Raw genomic sequence first — 20,128 nt, 5'->3', positions numbered from 1 at the left:
TCTGTTTGGACTGCTATAACAACGTTCTTAGGCTGAGTAATTTATAAACAACAGAAATTAATAGCTCATAGTTCTGGGAGCTGTGAAAGGCGATTGGGACTGCCTTAGTCTGTTTGGACTGCTATAACAACGTTCTTAGGCTGAGTAATTTATAAACAACAGAAATTAATAGCTCATAGTTCTGGGAGCTGTGAAGTCCAAGATCAAGACACCAGCGGACTCGAAGTCTGGTGATTTTGTGTCTGGTGAGGCCTCATTATCCACTTCAAAGATGGTTCCTCCTAGCTGTGTCTTCATATGGTGGAACGGGTGAACAAGCTCCCTCAGACCTCTCCATGAGAGTGGAACCCTTGTGACCTAATTGCCTCCCAAAGGCCCCATCTCTTAATACCAGCACCTTGGGGGTAGGCTTCAACTCATGAGTTTTGGGGGAACACAAGCATTCAGCTTATATCAGGCACCAAAGGTGAGCACAGCTTGACTCCTGTATGTGCACACGGCACTCTCATCCTTTGTGGGACACCAAGCCAGAGCCCAGAAAGTCAGAATGCTCTTCCCTGTTTGGAATTTGGCCCTGTGCAAGTTCCACAGTGGGGACCTCACGTCTGTCCACACAAGGACACACCACATAAGCAACTTGGGATTTTCCAGGCCAGTCCCTACGTTCATGAAAACACGGCAGCTCTGTGTTCACGCCACCACAATTAACTTTCCACCTCCCACCACCCCCAGAAAACAACGTGCTTAGCTAATTTCTAGGACTTATTTGCTTGCTTGTTTTGACTAAATTGTTGGTTATTTCCTTTTTTTCCAAAGAAGAAAGGAAAGAAAGGCAAAAAGAAAGAGAAGAAGGCAAAGAAGGATAAAGATCTGACAGCTGACAGGTGAGGAATGGACTCGTTGTGTTGTGATGCGCGTGAGCAGCCCCAGAGAACAGCACAGGGAACCCCGAGTACGCCCCCTCTGTGATGCCACGCCCTCTTCATCCTCCACAGTCCCGGAGTGGTGGGAGCCACCTCTAAGTCCCTACAAATCCCAGACTGGAAAGATGCCTGGGTGGCCCAGAAGGCAAACCTGGACCCCCATGGCTTCTGACGTCATAACATTTTTTTAAGTTTTAAAATTCATGGAATTTTTTGTTTAAGTTTTTTGTTTAAGAAATAACACCCTGGTGAAGCATTTGAGGAAATACGGAGACTCTGAGTTCTCACAGGACAGGAATCTGCCCGAGCGCCTCTGCTGAGGCCGTTGCTCCTGCCGCGGAAGGAATGAGAGCAGTGAGGCCCAGTCTCAGGAAGGGCGGTGTCCTTTCTCAGAGCTTCATGGGCCCAGCTTCAGTGCAGGACGAATGAATTCAAGTGTTCATTTTTAACTTGAAGTGGCCTGAAAGTACTTTAACACTGAAAATAAATAGTACGTAGGTTTTCAAATATTATCAAGGAATTTAATTAAAATCCCTAATAATGTGGGAAGTAATTTTGAATGTATATTTTTCTTCCCATAGGTCTTATTAATGGATCAACACCTGTCGCTCCACTGTTGGGGGTTCCCTCCCCTCTCCCTTGGTCCTGTCGCTCCCCTGTTTGGGGGTTCCCTCCCCTCTCCCTTGGTCCTGTCGCTCCCCTGTTTGGAGGTTCCCTCCCCTCTCCCTTGGTCCTGTCGCTCCCCTGTTTGGGGGTTCCCTCCCCTCTCCCTTGGTCCTGTCGCTCCCCTGTTTGGGGGTTCCCTCCCCTCTCCCTTGGTCCTGTCGCTCCCCTGTTTGGGGGTTCCCTCCCCTCTCCCTTGGTCCTGTCGCTCCCCTGTTTGGGGGTTCCCTCCCCTCTCCCTTGGTCCTGTCGCTCCCCTGTTTGGGGGTTCCCTCCCCTCTCCCTTGGTCCTGTCGCTCCCCTGTTTGGGGGTTCCCTCCCCTCTCCCTTGGTCCTGTCGCTCCCCTGTTTGGGGGTTCCCTCCCCTCTCCCTTGGTCCTGTCGCTCCCCTGTTTGGGGGTTCCCTCCCCTCTCCCTTGGTCCTGTCGCTCCCCTGTTTGGGGGTTCCCTCCCCTCTCCCTTGGTCCTGTCGCTCCCCTGTTTGGGGGTTCCCTCCCCTCTCCCTTGGTCCTGTCGCTCCCCTGTTTGGGGGTTCCCTCCCCTTGGTCCTGTCGCTCCCCTGTTTGGGGGTTCCCTCCCCTTGGTCCTGTCACTCTTCTGTTTGGGGGTTCCCTCCGCTTCCCTTAGTCCTGTCGCTACCCTGTTTGGGGGTTCCTGCTTCTCCCTGTGTCCCAGCATTACTCTCCCCAAACTCTGTTGGAGGGAAGCTCAGTGAGGGAGAAAGCCCTGCCTAGAGCTCTCTGCGGGGGGAAGAGGAGGGCAGAGCACCCAGAGGGGCACTGGGCATCTGTGGCCTCCAGGGAGGCCAGAACACTGCCGCGGCCCTGGCAAGCAGCCCCTGGAAACACAGTCGGGGGAGTGTGGGTTTCTGCTCTCTAGAGAAATGGCTGTCACGGGACATCCATAGGGGGAGGGGCTGCAGGTTTCTCCACTCAAGGCTGCATTGTTTGAGAAGCAGTTCCAGGTCGAGATGCTGTGGCTGACTGCTGCCGAAGAAGCAGCTGGTCAGCGTTTTGAGTCTCAGGTGCCCCAGTTCCTGGGGAGGCACACATCTGTCCATGCGTAAACACCGGCACCTCCTGGGGCAGATTTGGGGGGCAGAGGGGCCTCGGAGTCCCATCCCTTGAGGAGGGTGCAGCCCATGCTCACACACTGTGCCACGGTGTCTTCTAGCTTTTTTTTTTTTTTTTTTGAGACGGAGTCTCGCTGTTTCGCCCAGGCTGGAGAGAACTTGCGCCATCTCAGCTCACTGCAACCTGTGCCTCTGGTGTTCAAGCGATTCTCCTGCCTCAGCCTCCTGAGTAGCTGGGATTACAGTTGCCCACCACCAGGCCCAGCTAATTTTTTTGTATTTTTAGTAGAGATGGGGTTTCACCATGTTGGCCAGCCTGGCTTGAACTCCTGACTTCAAATGATCCGCCCACCCTAGCCTCCCAAAGTGCTAGGATTACAGGTGTGAGCCATCACACCTAGCCTCAGACCTTCTTAATATCATTTGTTCGATTGTTAGAGAATCTTCTTCAAATTTATGTTAATATTTTATGCGTATATTGTTTATATTAAATAAGTATTCAAGTTAAAACACTACAGTTGATACTTCCTTGATATATATGGGTCAAATATTGCTATCCTAAATTCCACTAAATTAAATATTTCTTAACTTTCAGCAGAGGGCATACTACTTTAAATGTTTGATGCAATACAACTCCAGTCATCCAAAGACTAGGGTCATTGGATTAACATTTCCCCGAATAGTATTTGGCTTGGGTCTAACTGATATTCTTGGGTATCTTTTAATCACACTAACTTGGATCACAGGACAGTCAGAAGAACTGTCTAAATAAAGTTGTATTTACAATTCTCAACTTAGAGAAAGACCAGAGTAGGATGGGAGAATAAAGAAGAGGAAAAGACAAAACATCTCGAAGGATTATACTGAATAATATTTGAGTTTAACCTATCTAATTTCTGCAAGCCAAACCCCAGCAAGTATCATTGGGAGTTTCATCCGTTATGTGGGATACTATGTCCATTTTTTTCTCAATTAGTATAAATTACCAATGTGCTGGCTATATGCTCAAGGTCCTTTTAGAGAAGTGGTTTTGACATCTGTAAACACTCTGTAAAGTATAACACCCTCCTAAAAAATCATCACCCTCATTGCTTTAGACGTTTTATCTTCCATATAAGAATTATCTTCAGTATAAGTCTTTGTTCTTTGTAGATGTTTCTTTCAAACAATTGTGCAATTGGGTTAAAAGGAAACATAAATTTCACAAAGGATTAATGATGTACTACAGCTTGAAGATGCTAGCCGAATATATAATTATAGGTCCATTGCATTACTATTATTGGGTAATTTCTAATTCATATTTGTGCCATCATGAAGACTGATGGAAGGGCAGACTGCAGGAGTTAGAGCTGGTCCCAGACGCCCAAAGATATCGTTCTTATTAATGGGAAACATCAGATACACACATGGATGAGTGAAAGTATTGTTTTTAAAAAGCCTAATTTATCCCCAAATTGTAGAAACACTTCAAAAATCCTTTTATTTGCATATGAACAAATGTACTTTGAAATAGATCTGGTTTAAGTTCTCCGCGTATGTGATCATTAACAGAAATACCGCCGATTTCTGTGTGTGTGCCTCTGGAACAGACACTCTGCTTTCTCCCCAGGACCATCGAGTCTCTGTATAAGGAACTGGTGGAAGAAGGATTACTGATCCAGGCTCTGAAAGTCAACCTCTCTGATTACATTGGTGAGTACACAGAGAATAATACATGTATGTGTCACGTGTCACCTCTTGTGTTTTGAAATCCCAGCAGCCGGAAATATGTTTTATTTACATTTTTGTTCAAGCCAAAACCTGGCCGATGGTGGCTCCTGGTAAATGTTTGTTGGATTGAATTGATTCAAATAACCTAAGAGGATGCTGTGGACTAACAGATTCTCTTAATAAAATGGTTGCAGCTCTCTCCCCTAACGTAATAGAAGCAGGTTTTTAACCTACTAGCAAGGTTCCTTGGTGCATTCTTTCTGGCATAATCTGATTTAAGGAAATGGGGAATTGTTAATGATTTCACTTGTAAAAAATGCACCTGGGGCAGCACCTAAGGCCTCCACAACAGAATCCTTACTGGAGGAATTCTTTCCAAAAGATACCTTCCAATAGAGACACAAATATTGGGGAGGAATGAGGTGGGGACATTTGTTATCACAGCCTCACCTAATGGTTTTCTCTAAATTTTTAAAAAACACCATGATGACCTGAAAACACACTTAAAGCTTAAAATTCCTCATAACTGTACTACCGTAATGCAGTTATTAGTTTTACTTTTATGAAGAAATTACCCCCAATGAATGACAACATTCTCCTACATAACCACAGAAGGAAAATCACTCAGAAAATCAAATGCAATACTGTTACCTAATATACAGTGAACCTTCAGCTTTCCCAATTGTCCTGATAATGTCCTGTATAAATACTTGTCTTTCTCCATCCAAAATCCAGCCAAGGATGGTGCAAGTGATTGTTGTGTCTCTTCTGTCTCCCGTAATTCCTTCCGTCAGGAACAGTTTCCCAGCCTTCCGCCATCTTTCACAACACTGACATTTTTGAAGAGTCTGAGCTGTGCACAGACTGTCTCTCAATTGAATGTGTGTCATGGTTTTCTCATTATTCGATTCAGGTTAAACATTTTGACAGGAAAATGATGGTGTCTCCCTGTCAGTGTTTCCCACTGGGGGCACTTAATGCCACTTTGTCCCATCAGTGGTGAGGTTAAGTTTAATCCTGTGGCTTAGGTGCTGTTCCCGGGATTTCTCCACTGTAAAGCATCATCTTTCCCTTTATAATTAATGAACAATCAATCCAAGGGGTGATATTTTGAGGCTGTGGAGATTCTGTTCCCAGCAGCCTCTCAGGCAGCGTTTTAGCACCCACTGATGATTTTGTATCTGCATCAGTTATTGCTGTAGCAGTTGTAAAAGTGGAGATTTTTCTATCATTCCTTCTACATTGAATAGATATCATTCTTCTGTGAGGAAGTGTGGAATCTTTTAAAATTGCGTTATCAGTGTAGACACATGGATTCTTTTTTTATTCAATGTATTATCGTCTGTCCCTATCATTATCCATCCTGGTATTTACATTGACCCAATTTTGGTCTGTGAGGGCAAGAAGGCTGGCATTCTCCTTTGATCAAAGGGTGGTTATTTTAATCCCTTTGCAAGACAGCCTTGTTTTCTTCTTGAGGGCTTAAAGGAGCCCTCACATTTCCTAATAGCATAAGAATTTTGCTGGAATATTTATTAAGATATGTTTTGGGTTTCTATTTATTTTACTTTCTGTGTTTCTTCTTCAAGTGCTGGAGAATTTTCTCCTGTACCTTGATTCTGTTTTGTTAATTCTGTTAATATTTTAAAATGGCTGTTTTTAACAGAACTGTCTCTTATTTATGGTTTGGATTTCTGAACAAAAGATCCTAGTGCCGAGTACAGTGCCTGGCACGTGGTAGATTCTCATTACCTATGTGCGGACTGACTTCTCAACTAATTATTAATTTCTCATCCCTTCTGAACTTTTTCAATGATCTGTCAATTTCCAGGAAGCATCTTTAAGATGCCTAAGATCAAAGTGGGTGGAGTCAGCCGTTTAAGAGTGACTTTGATGTGGTTTAGATCTGTGCGCCCACCAAACCTCATGTAGAATTATAATCCCCAGTACTGGAGACGGGGCCTTGTGGGAGGTGAGCGGATCATGGGGGCAGTTTCTCATGAACGGTTTAGTACCATCCTCCTTGGGACTTTCCTCATGGTAGTGAGTTCTCACGAGATCTGGTCATTTTAAAGTGTGTAGCAGGCTGGACACGGTGGCTCACACCTGTAATCCCAGCACTTTGGGAGGCCAAGGTGGACGGATCACCTGAGGTCAAGAGTTTGAGACCAGCCTGGCCAACATGGAGAAACCCCATCTCTACTAAAAAAAAAAAAAAAAAAAAAAATTAGCCAGGCATGGTGGCACGCGCCTGTAATCCCAGTTACTCAGGAGGCTGAGGCAGGAGAATCGCTTGAACCCGGGAGGTGGAGGTTGCAGTGAGCCAAGGTCACGCCATTGCACTCCAGCCTGGGCAACAAGAGCGAAACACCATCTCAAAAAATAATAATAATACAAATAAAAACATAAAAATAAAAGTGTGTAGCATCTCCCCCTTTCCTCTCTCTTGCTTTCGTTCTCACAATGTGAGACATCTTGCTCCGCCTTTGCCTTGTGTCATGATTGTAAGTTTCCTGAGGCCTCCCCAGAAGCTGAGCAGATGCCAGCATCATGCTTCCTGTATAACCTGCGGAACCGTGAGCCAATTAAACCTCTTTTATTTATAAATTACCCAGTCTTGGGTATTTCTTTATAGCAATTCAAGAACAAATTCATACAGACTCTAAGTGAAAATGACTCAATCTAACCAAAGTAGTCAAATATCCACCAAAATCTGGCACACTTTGACCTTGTCCATATTTTCATTTTTTCCCCTGTCCATATTTTCATTTTTTCCCAGTTAAGGTCCTTAGCTTGAAAGATGGCAGTGTATCTTCCCAAATCCCCACATAGTAAAATAGAGCAACTAGAAAACAAGACCAAAACCCCCCAGGCAACACTTGCACCAAAACTAAATGACAAATTTTCCCCATTGAGCCCCAAAGTACAAGCTTTAGGGACACCAAAGGACCTGAGAACAGGAGACCCCAAAATAACCAGAGAGCAATGGGCCAGGTAATGTGCAGTGGGCCAGGTAAGAATCAAAGCTGAAACTAGGAGGGGTTTGGCCCACCTCAATAGCAGATGAGTGTAAAGGACCGGAATAAGAAAGTGTGAAGGAGCTGGGGCGGTGACCCACCCCAGTGCCTTCCTCCACAGGGCCCATACTACAAAGAAACTCTTGGGAATTAAATCAAAATTGAACAGGATGGGAAAAGTAAAGATGAAGCATAGAGAAGGCCCAGAAGAAATTAGGGGAGGGGACCAGAGCCAGAACATCTCAGAAAGCAAACCACCGCATTTTTAACATCTATAAAGACGACAGAGGAGGGAGCTCTGTGAAACTGGAAAAGCTATCCTGCGCCACACTTCCTTCTAAAAGTATTGGACTATTCACTCATATAAATTTGAGCAATGGAAAAGTTCAAGGTCAATGCCCATGCAAAATTATCATAAGAAAAAAAGAATAAGAAAACATTAACTTCCCAAAAAGACATCTCCACAAAGCAGGTCTATACTGAAACCTATTTCAAAACAGGTTAATATACAGTAAGAGGTCAAGCGCGGTGGTTCATGCCTGTAGTTCCAGCACTTTGGGAGACTGAGGTGGGCGGATCATTGGAGGTCAGGAGTTCCAGACCAGCCTGGCCAACATGGAGGAACACCATCTCTGCAAAAATTACAAAAGTTAGCCAGGTGTGATGGCACACACCTGTAATCCCAGCTACTCAGGAGGTTGAGGCAGGAGAATCGCTTGAAGCCAGGGAGGTTGCGTGAGCCAAGATTGTGCCAATGCACTGCAGCCTGGGGGTCAGAGCGGGACTCCGTCGCAAAAAAAAAAAAAAAAGTTAATATACATTAAAGAATTATAGAAGACGTGTGAGAACAGCATAAAATAGAAAGAGTAAAACCCAGAAATGAGGTGACAAATCTCAATAAATATAAATAAAGGGGAAAATGTTTTAGAAAAAAATAAATTATAATGAATACAAGAGCAAATAAAAATAGTAATGCTTTAGAAATAAAAGGCAAAAAGGCAAATTTTTAAAGTAAAATTAGAAATTAAGGATATTAAAAGAATTCAAAGAGCATATCAAATATTGACGACAGACAAAGAAAATCCAACATACAGATAATACGAGTCCCTAAAGAAGAAAATCAAAGCAAAGGAACAGAAAAAATGCAAAGAATTTTGGCCGGCCACAGTGGCTCACACGTGTAATCTCAGCACTCTGGGAGGCGGAGGCAGGAGGATCTCTTGAGACCAAGTATTTGAGATCAGCCTAGCAACATAGCAAGACCCTTTTTCTACAAAATAAAAAATAAAAAGTAGCTAGGCATGGTGACACACACCTGTAGTCCCAGCTACTTAGCAGGCTGAGGCAGGAGGAGCGCTTGAGCCTAGGAATTCAAGGTTGCAGTGAGTCAAGATCACACCACTGCATTCCAGCCTGGGTGAAAGAGCAGGACCTTGTCTCAAATTTTAATTTTATAAATATATATAATTTTAATTCATGAACATTTCTTTTAGGCCTTTTCCTGTTTAGGAAAAAAAAAGTGCAGCTCGCTGCTAATGATCATTTAACTTTAAGTAAACGTGTTCTTTGAGGCTGAAGCAAATCTGACTGATTTTCAATGTGAAAATAAAATACAAAAACTGTTCTTGGAGTTATTTCTAAACAGAACTAATATCAGAATCTTCTGAATCATCAGAATTGTCTATTTCAGAAAAAATCAGATTCATCAAATGAATCTTCAGCCAACAACCACTGGAAAACGATGTCAAGATCATGCATAGGAATGCTACGTTTCCTAGGATTTGATATTTTTCGGCAATCAAGAATTACTATATTTCCTAAATGGAAATACCACTAGTGAAAACAGAATGCTATAGATAGAATGATGTCTTTTGTTTCTGAAGTCAGTATACTAGAGCTCTGCAAAAATAATAATAAAAACGAGATATTTCGTGGCAAAGTTATCTTGGGGTAAATGCTGCGGTCGAAAGCACCTCTGGCAAGTATTCTCAGGGCAAACGGGAAAAGGGTTTAGACGTTTAAAAAACATTAAAACCACATAACGAAAGACCACACTGTCTATCTGAGAATATTGACTCAGATTGATCAAGAAGACATTCTAATAAAAGTGCCTTTGGGTATCTGTGTAAAAGAGATCATATGACTTGGAAAGGAAAGAAAATTAGATTACCCTCAGACTTTTCCACAGCAATGCTTTACACCAGAAGTAAATGGAGTGACATACATAAGATGCTCAGGGAAAGGAAGCAGGATCCTAGGATTTTGTACCCAGCCAAGTTTATTTTCAAGTACATGGGACACAAACTGATAAACATGAAAGAACTCAGCAGTTTTCCCCCTGAGCCCTTCCTGAAGAATCTGCTAAGAATGACCTACTGACAATCAAAAATGACGTGAGACACCTTGGCACGAGGATTGGTAGTGAGCATTCTCTATATACCCATAAAACCAGGACAAGGTGAGGGCTTCAGGAGAGAGAGTGCAATGCATAAGAGCGGTGTGCGCTGACAACACGGCATTGCAGACTTCCTACCTTAGGGGTACTGGGCTCTTGCACAGCTGGGAGCTTCTTCCTGATCACATAAACTCAGGGGGCTTGGGAATGCCCCCCTGCCTCTGGAAAGCACACTGCTCTCAGCACCCAGATAAGTCATGCCTCGTCATCTTGTCTAAGAAGAGCATTAACGAGATGAGGACCCAGGCACCCTCACTCACCCTTGGGTTCCCTGGTTTTGAATTTATTATCTTGGTTCCTTTTTAACACCTTGACAACAGAGGCATGGCCCAGAGGGTTCCTCTGTTGCCTATTCCGTTGCTCCAGAGGCCAGCACTGCAAAGCCTGAGTGCCCAGAGCCGTTTATTTCTCCTGCTTCTAGAAGATGAGAGAGGGTGGATGTGGGCTGTTCCTCCCCAGCCCTTCATCCAGGCAGGGCAGGAGCAGGGATCCCCGGACGCAGAATGTGGTTGCCCGGATGGATGTCTCCACCAGGCCAGGAATGCTCTGCACAGATCCAGCGTGCTCAGCCGCTGGACACGAAGTTGCTTTTTTTAGTCTTGAGATTTGTAATCCCACTCTGTCCTCAACACCATTGAACTCCCAACAGTCATTAGAATCTCAACAGTCATTAGAATCACAGCAGATAAGAGCTACAGGAGACAAGGGGAGGAACAGAGCCAGAGGATGCAAAGCCTGCACTGCAGAGCTGGGGACAACACCTTCCTCCAGGCCCAGCCCTCGGCTCCCACCAGCCCACCCCCACCACCCACCCCACTGCTTGCTGCACCCCTGCATGGCCACCCTGCTCCAGAACTGGCCCTGTGCCCAGCAGCAAGCACCTGCCACAATCTCAGGTGTGCAAGAAATAGCAAGTTCCTTATTTTCTTTATATCACTTTAATTTGGCTTCACAACCCCTATACTACCAAGGTGATTTAAACTCAGTCCTTCTTGCCAGTCCCCACCCCTGCCCTAGGTATCCTCAAGGCCCCCAGTTCCCAGGAAGCACCAGGGTGCTGCAGAGAAATTCTGGGGGCCGGTGCCCATGAAGGCCCCCCAGACCTCCAGGGCCTGGGGCTGGATGCCCGCTGCTCAGGGACCACTGACCGGTCTCTCCTCCCAGGCTCAAGGAATCTCTCCTTCCTCTCGTCTTTCTGAGGCTGCCTCCCTCCAAGATGCCAGGCCTTTACTTACTCTTTCTGTGCCTCAGTTTCCACTACTATGGGATGAGGTAATTACAGCAAATGCCTCACTAAATCGCTGTAAACATTAAGCAAGTGGCTGGATGGAGCACCCCAGGCTGCACCTGCACGGCATTCAGCTGCCCCTGGCGTGTGGCTGGCGATCTTCGGTGATGCTTGGTGTAAAACCATCACCTCCCTCTCTGCTTTTATCTTCACGTGGTGTTCTGCCTCTGTGCATGTCTGTCTCTGTGTCCAAATTTCTCCTTTTTTATAAGGACACCAGTCCTGTTGGATTTAGGGTCCACTCTAATGACCTCATCTTAATGAAATCTATCTGCGACAACCCTATTTCCAAATAAGGTCGCGTTCTGAGATGCTGGGGATTAGGACTTCCACTTAGAATTGCAAGGGGATTCGATTCCACCTGTCGTGCAGCCGCTGTTTGGTTTTCTGCCCTCTTGATCTGGGTTTCCTGGCATTTTCACGCCCTCTATCCTAAATGCCTTTTCGTCTGCCACTTTCTTCTTCCCTCCCCTGTGGAAGATCTGATGTCTGTGCCGGGAATGCTGGACTTTCCGAGCTCCGAATGCACGGATGGGAAGGGGCATGGCTTCTGTGTGGGGCCACTGCAAACACAGGAATGTGCTTTCAGTGCGAGTCTCAGACCTTGGCAGGCAGCCGGGGCTACTTGTGTCCTTGCCTCTGTTAGAACCAACACCCACTAATTCAACTGAATATAATTTGTTTAAACAAGATCTGTTATGTTCTAGAAAATATGGTGCATCTGGAGATTAATATGGGTTTAGATAAGCAGGAAAATTGGGGTCACTTTCCTGTCACCTTGAATGTCATGTTTACTGGCAATGAGCGCTGGATTTAACGGTTGTTACAGGATCTCTTTCTATTCTAGTGGAGGCTAAATTAACCACTCTTCTATTTATTACCTGCTCATTAAAAAGTGTGGTATCTGAAGCCATAATAGATGCTTTCATTATCACTCATTCTCCCAACCAATACCCATTGTCCTTGCCAAGGACGTTTTGTTCATGTGGAGGCTCTGAAAGGCTGCCCCCTGCCCCACAACAAAACAGCGGTCACTGTCTGAATTTTAACTCTGATTTTCTTAGCATTTGAAAATACTTAAAAGCTTGGGATACTTTCAGTGTTTCCTACACACATAAATGTGCATATTGTACTTGCTGTACACATGTAGCATCCGAAGCTCTGCAGGACCAGGACTCGCTATAGGAAGAAAGCATCAGGGAAAAAAATCCAGACATGGTGATTCGTTCATTGAATATTTTTACTCCAGATTCAGATACAGATCAAGAGAGAATCATATGAACCTATAAAGGTCCGTCCTCATGACAAATGGAGACAGCCAAACTAATTTTCTTGGTGACCTTATCTAAATTAGTTAGAAAATAACACTTCAGATTTATGACTAGTTACAATTAAGCCCTTTGATATCTTCTAATTAAACCTGTAAAGATTTATTTCTGCATTATTCCTTTGGTACTCTCTTAAAAATGATAAAAATGTAAATGAATATTACCCTCAAAAGGAGATGTTTCTATTTATCCTAAATTAGACTCATACCCTTCCTTTCAAATGACTGCATTTTACACTCAGATTTACACTGCTCCAATACAAATTCTACATCGATCTTAAATAACTTATTTATAAAGTTTGCACAAATGTTATACATAATCTATTGGAATATAAATAAAGCAGAGCCCCCTATATTTCAGCCTTTTTTGTGTGTCCTTCTTTTTAGCACTTTGTCCCATTTCACATAACTCTATATTCAAATGTTGTTTTAGAAAGTATTAGGAGGCTAATATAATAGTCAACATCATTCCCAGTTTACTCTAGCTAGTAGAGCAGGGCTTTCTTGCCTGGATAGCTTTTCTTCAAACCTTTATCTGAGAAAAGATGTGTTCTTCATAATGACTCTCCTAATAGGATTCTCTTTGCTCTGAAATGTTCAATTTGTATTCTCCGATCGTTTTGCAGATGCCAAAATTATGCAGCTCAGACCAGCGCTGTTTTCCATTTATTGTTCCTCTGTTTCTTTTCTCTCCAGGTGAGTACAGCTACCTGGGGACTACTCTTCGCCAGGTGTCCATAGAACCCATGCCCTCCCTCCTGGATGTCAGACAGCTCATCACATTGTACGGAATCTGGCCATTAGGTAAAGACTCGGCGTGCGCGGATGTGCCTTTTCCAAAGCAGCTTGCACCGCTTGCTGGTTTGGACAGTGTGTTCCTGTTTGTCATCAAAAGTACAGTGCTCCTTAACTTTTCCTACTGAGAATTCTGAGTGGGCACAGTTTCATTTTGATAGTGCACCCACCAGCACACAAAGTACTACCAGGGAGAGCACTTCTGCACCCTCTCTGCGTGCCTGCTTAGCAGTGCTGGGCTGAAGGACATACAGGCAATGAGCTGGGGAGATAATAGGCAAAGCAAGTACCTGCAATTACGATTAATCAAATTAGAGAACGGGCTAGGGCTACCACTTGCCTTTTACCCACAGGCTCCTATTACTAGGTCCTAAACAGAGGCAGCCTTTCAGGAGTCAGTGCAAGTGTGTTTCATGGATCTAAAGGATCACCTTTAAGGCCCTGCCAGTTTTCACCGACGTCTACTCTCACTGCTAAATGAGGTTCAATTGTGACTTTTTTCAGACAGACACACTAGAGCTCTGTGGTGTGCAGGCGATGCAGGAAAGATGGGCTCTCCACAGCACAGATATCTGCGGCTCACGTTCGCTTTTTTCTTTTTTTTTTTCTTTATGGCTTTGATATGTGTATGACCTGAATCACCAGGGGCAGGGATGGCAACTCCAGCCAGGAGTTTCAGTTCTGACAACAACTCTCAAATAGAAATCACCTTCTGGGTTTTTAATTTGCTTTAAAATGAGATGGGAGTAGTTCAAACCCTTATTGTTCCACTTTGACTTCAGAACTTAAGACTTCAGAACTTGCCTATTGGCAAGAAATAGTTAATTCCTCTTCTAAATTGATGTCAGAAGTAGTAAATGGAATTTGGGGTTAATATACATTTATATATATATAATATATATGTTTTATATAATATATAATAGCACATAATTTATATTATATATAACAAATATATCATATTTGAGGGGCAACATAATTTGTGGTCAACAGAATAAATGTATAAGTGTCAATGGAAATAAAATAGAGGAGACCTCACACTTCCATGAAGCATCATGGAAGGCAGTAAGACAGAAAGCACCAGTGAGCCAGGCATAGTGGCTCACGCATGTAATCCCAGCACTTTGGGAAGCCAGTGTGGGCAGATCACCTGAGGTCGAGTTCGAGAGCAGCCTGGCCAACATGGTGAAACCCCATCTCTGCTAAAAATACAAAAAAAAAAAAAAAAAATAGCCGGGTGTGGTGGCAGGTGCCTGTAATCCCAGCTACTCAGGAGGCTGAGGCTGGAAAATTGCTGGAACCCGGGATCACGCCATTGCACTCCAGCCTGGGCGACAAGAGTGAAACTCCATCGAAAGAAAGAGAGAAAGAGAGAGAGAGAGAAAGAGAGAGAGGAGGAGGAAGGAGGGAGGGAGAGGGAGAGGGAGGGAGGGAGGGAATAAAAGAGAAAGAAAGAACCAAGAGCCAACAAGTTTGGAAGGGAACGCCTCCCTAATGAGGTTGGTGTATTTCACAGCTGCAAAGGATACAAGGTGGTATCTGTGGTTTCCAAGCTGGCTTTGAACACACCACAGAAGGGCCCTCAGGAAGCACCCCACCCACACCCTCCCTTTCTCACTGAGGAACCTACTGTCCAAAAGGGCTATGAGGTCCTCCGGAGAGCAGAGCTGGCTGGGGCATTTGTTCTCATGACAGGGCATGTGTGCCAAGTGTTTGGAATGCATAGAAACGTTAGGCAGATGAATTGTGTGCACAGTTAAGCTTTTGGGAGGCTGATTTACATTTCATACATTAAAATAACATCCTGTCATAAAAAGGAATGTCTGGGGGCTCCAGTTGTTTAGATCACCTTGATGGTGGCGGCTGCCCAGACTAAAAACCTGGCCACTCAGCAGAGGACCTTGAGAACATCTCCTGGCCGCTTACATACTTGGCCAGGAGACACCGGCTGCAGCCTGGGGCTAGGGCTTAGACTCCGAAACCACCTTGTTAGAGAAGAGGAAGCCCAGGAAGTATCTGGTCAGCATCCACCCACCCTCCTGGAGGTATTACTGCCACGTAGAGATCAGGGAGAAGTGAAGGGTGGGGGCATGCTCACAGAGCAGAAACCGTGTCCACTGTTTCATCTCCTGCCAGACCCCTCCAGGTGGACGTGGTCCAGCTTTTAGTGATTCGTAAGCTGTTCCAAGATGCAGGGGCACTTCCTTGGAGTCACAGGGCTAGGAAGGGGCTAAACTGGGTTGAGGACAGAGAACACTGGCCTCCTTGTTATCTCTTAATTCTCGGAAAGTTGAACAGGGCTCAGGTGCGAAAACTGGAACCATACTGTGTCTCTTGGTAACTCTACGAGAGGGGCAGGAAGAGCTGTGGACACTGGCACATGTGTGTCCTGTCAGCTCCTGGGCCCTCTGTCCACCTTTGTCCTCCCTGAGGTCAGCCAGGCCCCCGTTGAAGAGGCCTCCCTGGACCAACCTTTTCACCTCTCTGGGTGACCTTGGTGACCACCCCCTTTCTCTGGAAGGCCACTGCCTGTGTCACTGCCACACACTCTCCCGGGTCCACTCACCTGCCCTTGCTCCTCTGCCTCCTGCTGCCCCCTCCCAACCCAAGGCTCTGTCCTCAGCACTGTTCTCTCCTTCCTCTACCACTCCCAGAAACCTCTCCCGGCCCCCTGGCTTCAGCCAGCACCCGCCTGGCACCTGCAGTCCCCGACCACCTTTCAGGGCCCCTGACCGCTGGCTCCTCACCCCTCCCTGTGCCAGCCTGGCTTCCCGGCCCCACATGAAGCCTGCCCACACACCCCCCTCACCGCATGCTACCATTCTGCCCATTCCTCAGAGGCTGGCCCAGATGCCACCTCCTCCTGGAAGTCCAGCCTGAGTCCTCCGCGGGGAGCAGTTTCTTCTCTGAACTCCCTGTGGCTCTCCTGGACCTTCTCACTGCTTGCCTCCCGTTCTCATTATGGCAACTCAGGTTCAGCTCCTCCCCTGGCCTGAACTCTCCACAGCAAATCCTGAGTCTTTTCCACATTTGTGTCACTCCCCGCCACAGTCCCCACTCCCACGGACCCCCACACTAGCTCCCAGCCAGGGCTACCACAGAGCAGCCTTCCATACCCAGGTGTCCAACGCAGGGCAAATGAATGGCATCTCTCTCCTGTTGTGGAAAAAGAGTCTCTCCTTTATCCCATTAGATTGCCGCAGCCCCTACTAACCACAAAAAAGGCATGCTCATTGAGTTACGTGGTAAAGAGAATTTGCTCAAAACTATTTTCCAAGTTTATGTGGAGAATGGTAGGTAACCATAAAAATTAGGTGTCTAATCATCACTTAAATTTTCTGTATCTTTTCAATTATACAAGAAAAAAGAAAAGCATAATCATCATACTGACATTTACAGAGTATCAAAAAGAGCCCATTAAGTGACAGAACGCAAACTAACATGATAGTAAATGATTTGATCACAGCACTTTCCAGAATTTAATCCCGTTCACTTTTTAGTTGCTTTGTGCCCAATATCTGCTCTGCTTGTGTTCTCTGCAATGGAGAATACCCACACCTGAGGCCCCTTCTGGGCACTAAGGAAATTGACAGTGTGGTGGAGAACACGGCATGAACCTCTGAATGACTCCAGTAATTCAAGTCACTTCATTATCAAGCGTCAGGTTAACTCTGCCGCTACTGACAGCTAGAAACCAGGGCAGGAGAAAGAAGTTCAGGCTGCTGCTGCCTGCATCTCCATCCTCCCTTGATCTCACAAGAATCACTAAATGGTAGGCAAGAGGGGTGCAAGGAAATAAACACTTAGTCAACCTTATCGTCTATGTCTCCACATTCCTCTTCCCAAGCTTTCAAAGAATTTAATGCTGCTGCCGACAAGCAGAGAAAGCACTCAAAAAAAAAAAAAAAAAGCCAGAGGTAAGCTATTGCAGGAATGCTCTTTAAAATTATGATTTCAGGGGAAATACTGATGTGGAGAGGGGGAGAAGGGTATTAAGGACCCGCAGAGACCCTATGGCTCTACCACGAGCCCTGACCTACAAATTAAAGGTGTCACAGAGCCAGCTGGGATGGAGGCGTGTCTCTGGTTTGAAATGCTTTGGACGCCTTTATCACTGTTGCAGAAAGTGGAGTCACACGATGCAGTTTTGACCTTGAGTTATCCTAGTTGAAGAACCACTGATTTTCTTGGCAGAACATTAGCACCTTTGCCTCTGCCTTTTTTAGGTTCTGCAGCAGTGCATGAGAAAGCTCCTTTGGTGAAATCGCTACTGTTAGCCGGGCCGTCTGGGGTAGGGAAGAAAATGCTGGTCCATGCCATCTGCACCGAAACGGGAGCCAACCTCTTCAACTTGTCCTCCTCTAACATTGCTGGGAAATACCCTGGCAAAAATGGCCTCCAAATGATGCTGCATGCAGTCTTCAAGGTATGGATTACATTTCTTGGTTTCCAACTCTCCTCCCTCTTTCAAATTACATTTTCAAACCCTGCAGATAATTTCCATTGGCAGACAAGCATGACTGTCTTAAATTTCCTCATTGTCTACTCCTGCAAATTACTTCATTATTGCGTATGGCCAAACACACACAATTAGAAACAACTTTTTTCTTTCCGTAAGCACCCTACTGTGCCATCCCAATCACCCTCCCTCTGCCACAGGAACCCTTCTGGAAATGCTTTCATGTCTCATTGAAAATTAAACCCACAATTTCTTTGCTCGGCCCACCTCACTGTAATAATTGGCATCAGGTAGAGATATTTGCATTATTTGGATTCTTCCTCACATGACATGGGTTGCCAAGGTATGGCACCTTCTGTGCTTCTGTGCACTCCTCACACAGGTGTGATGGAAAAGCCTGCAGGCACCTAAGCCGACCAGAGTAATGTAAAGACGTGCTGATATCACAGGATCCGAGCAGCTCTGTGATCTTAGCTAAGCTCCTAGCTTCCCTGGGTCTCCATTTTATCATCACAAAATGAATGCGTTTGAAAGAACTTTGATACAGATATTTTATATTTAGTATCAAGGCTTTACAAAATTTAATTTCTACTTGGTTGAGAACCTCCAGGTTAGCCTTATGCTATTCATTTCAGTTGCTGCCATGCCAGCTTTTACTGTATCAAAGCCTACATGGTGGCAAACACTGTCCCATATTGGAGGCTAGGTGTTGGCTCTGTATCTGCTTTCTAAGGGGCTGTAAAGCATGAGAGATGCTCATCAACGAGGCAGTTTACAGGAATGATAAACGGACAGGAATGTCTCCTTAGTGTCACGCTAATACACCAAAAAACTAGGGAGCGACAGCAGTAGGATTTCTTCCCTTAGCCACGTGGTCCCTCCCACTGCAGCGACTCAGGACATCCCACTCTCCTTTTCTCTCATGCTTGTAAGGAAGGCGTTCAGAGAGGAAACTGTAGAGTATACAATGTGTAACCACCATTTTCATGCACTTTATGGTCATTGTACAACTTTTTTTTGAAATTTATATTCAAGTCATTTACCTACAGTTGATGCTTGAACAACACAGGGGTTGGGGCGCTAATCCCCTGTGCAGTTGAAAATCCACGTATAGCTTTTGACTCCCTAAAAGTCTAATTACCAATAGCCTACTGTTGACTGGAAGTCTTCCTGATAACAGAAACAGTTGAATAACACGTATTTTGTATGGTGTATGTATTATACACTGTATTCTTATAATCAGCTGGAGCAAAGAAAATGTTATTAAGAAAACCATAAAGAAGGAAAAATCTATTTACTATTCATTAAGTGGAAGTGGATCATCATAGAGGTCTTCATCTTTGTCTTCTTCACATTGAGGAGGCTGAGGAGAAGGAGGAAGAAGAGGAGGAGTTAGCCTTGCTGTCTTAAGGGTGGCAGAGATGGAAGAAAATCTGTGTATATATGCACCCACACAGTTCAAATGAGTGTTGTTTAAGGGTCAACTGTACCTTTCATTGGGTTATTGTTTTCATTGGTTCATTTCATTGTTTAGGTTAATTTCATATTTTTTAGTATTTCAAAATTTCTGAGAATTTTGAGGAGCTCTCCAACTATATGCATTTCTGTATTTCTCCCTGTAGTACTGTCAGTTGCTTCATATATGTTGAAGCACTGTTATGAGATACATCCACGTTTAGGATTGTTATGTCTTCCTTCCTGGTTGATTATTTTATCATTATGAAATGACCCTTTTTGTCCTGGAAATACTCCATGTCTTGAAATCTACCTGGTCTGATACTAATGGAGCCACATCAGCTTTCTTATGCTGAGTGTATACGGTATATTTTTATGCTGTTTTATTTCCAATATGTCTATGTCTTTATAGTTAAAGTGCATTTCTTATGGATAGCACATAGTTGGGTTTTGCTTTCTTCTTCAATCTGACAACATATGTCATTTAACTAGAGCATTTGCTCCGTTTATTTTTGTATGCAATTATTTAGATGATTGAGTTCAGTCTACCATTTTGCTATTTGTTCTCCATTTGTTTCATTCCTCTTTCATTCAACTTCTCTTTTCCTGCCTTCTTTTTGGTCTCTTTTTATTTTCTTTTTTAGTGGTGGCCTACGGATTACTGTAGTCATTCTTATCACAGTCTATGTAGAATTAATATGGTATTTTACATAAAATATGAGAATCTTGTGACAACATAATCCATTTATTATCTCTGTCCTTCATTTTCTTATTATACATTTTACATCTATAAATGTTATATATACCACAATAGAATGTTATTTTTGCATTTCATGGTCATTTGTCTTTTTAAAAAATTGAGAGAAGAAATATACTCTTTTATACATCTCCATATATTTGCCATTTTTAGTACTCTCTTTGTCTCTGTCAAGTTAAGTTTTCACCTGGTATCATTTCCCTTTCAGCT

General features: G+C 44.4%; 1 protein-coding gene across 10 annotated transcripts in view; it reads left to right on the top strand.

Annotated features, from left to right (window-relative positions):
- The window catches only part of DRC11 (dynein regulatory complex subunit 11), a 200,792-nt gene that overhangs the window by 126,024 nt on the left and 54,640 nt on the right, over positions 1-20,128 (top strand). For 6 of the 10 annotated variants that reach the window (XR_007081589.1, NR_073043.2, XM_047445852.1 and 3 more), the window contains 4 exons: positions 817-884; positions 4,268-4,350; positions 13,152-13,259; positions 17,474-17,673. Coding sequence is in view for 8 of the 10 variants with exons in the window: in XM_047445852.1 (XP_047301808.1) it covers positions 817-884; positions 4,268-4,350; positions 13,152-13,259; positions 17,474-17,673 (459 nt within the window). In the remaining 2 variants the exon portion in view is untranslated. The remainder of the gene's footprint in view (positions 1-816; positions 885-4,267; positions 4,351-13,151; positions 13,260-17,473; positions 17,674-20,128) is intronic. The other 4 variants (NM_001270584.2, NM_024726.5, XM_017004960.2 and 1 more) reach the window with 1 other exon arrangement.

This window comes from Homo sapiens, chromosome 2, assembly GCF_000001405.40.
Source record: "Homo sapiens chromosome 2, GRCh38.p14 Primary Assembly".
NCBI classification, from domain to species: domain Eukaryota; kingdom Metazoa; phylum Chordata; class Mammalia; order Primates; family Hominidae; genus Homo; species Homo sapiens.
Note: the sequence above shows the minus strand (reverse complement) of the source record. Positions and strands in the feature narration are given on the sequence as shown.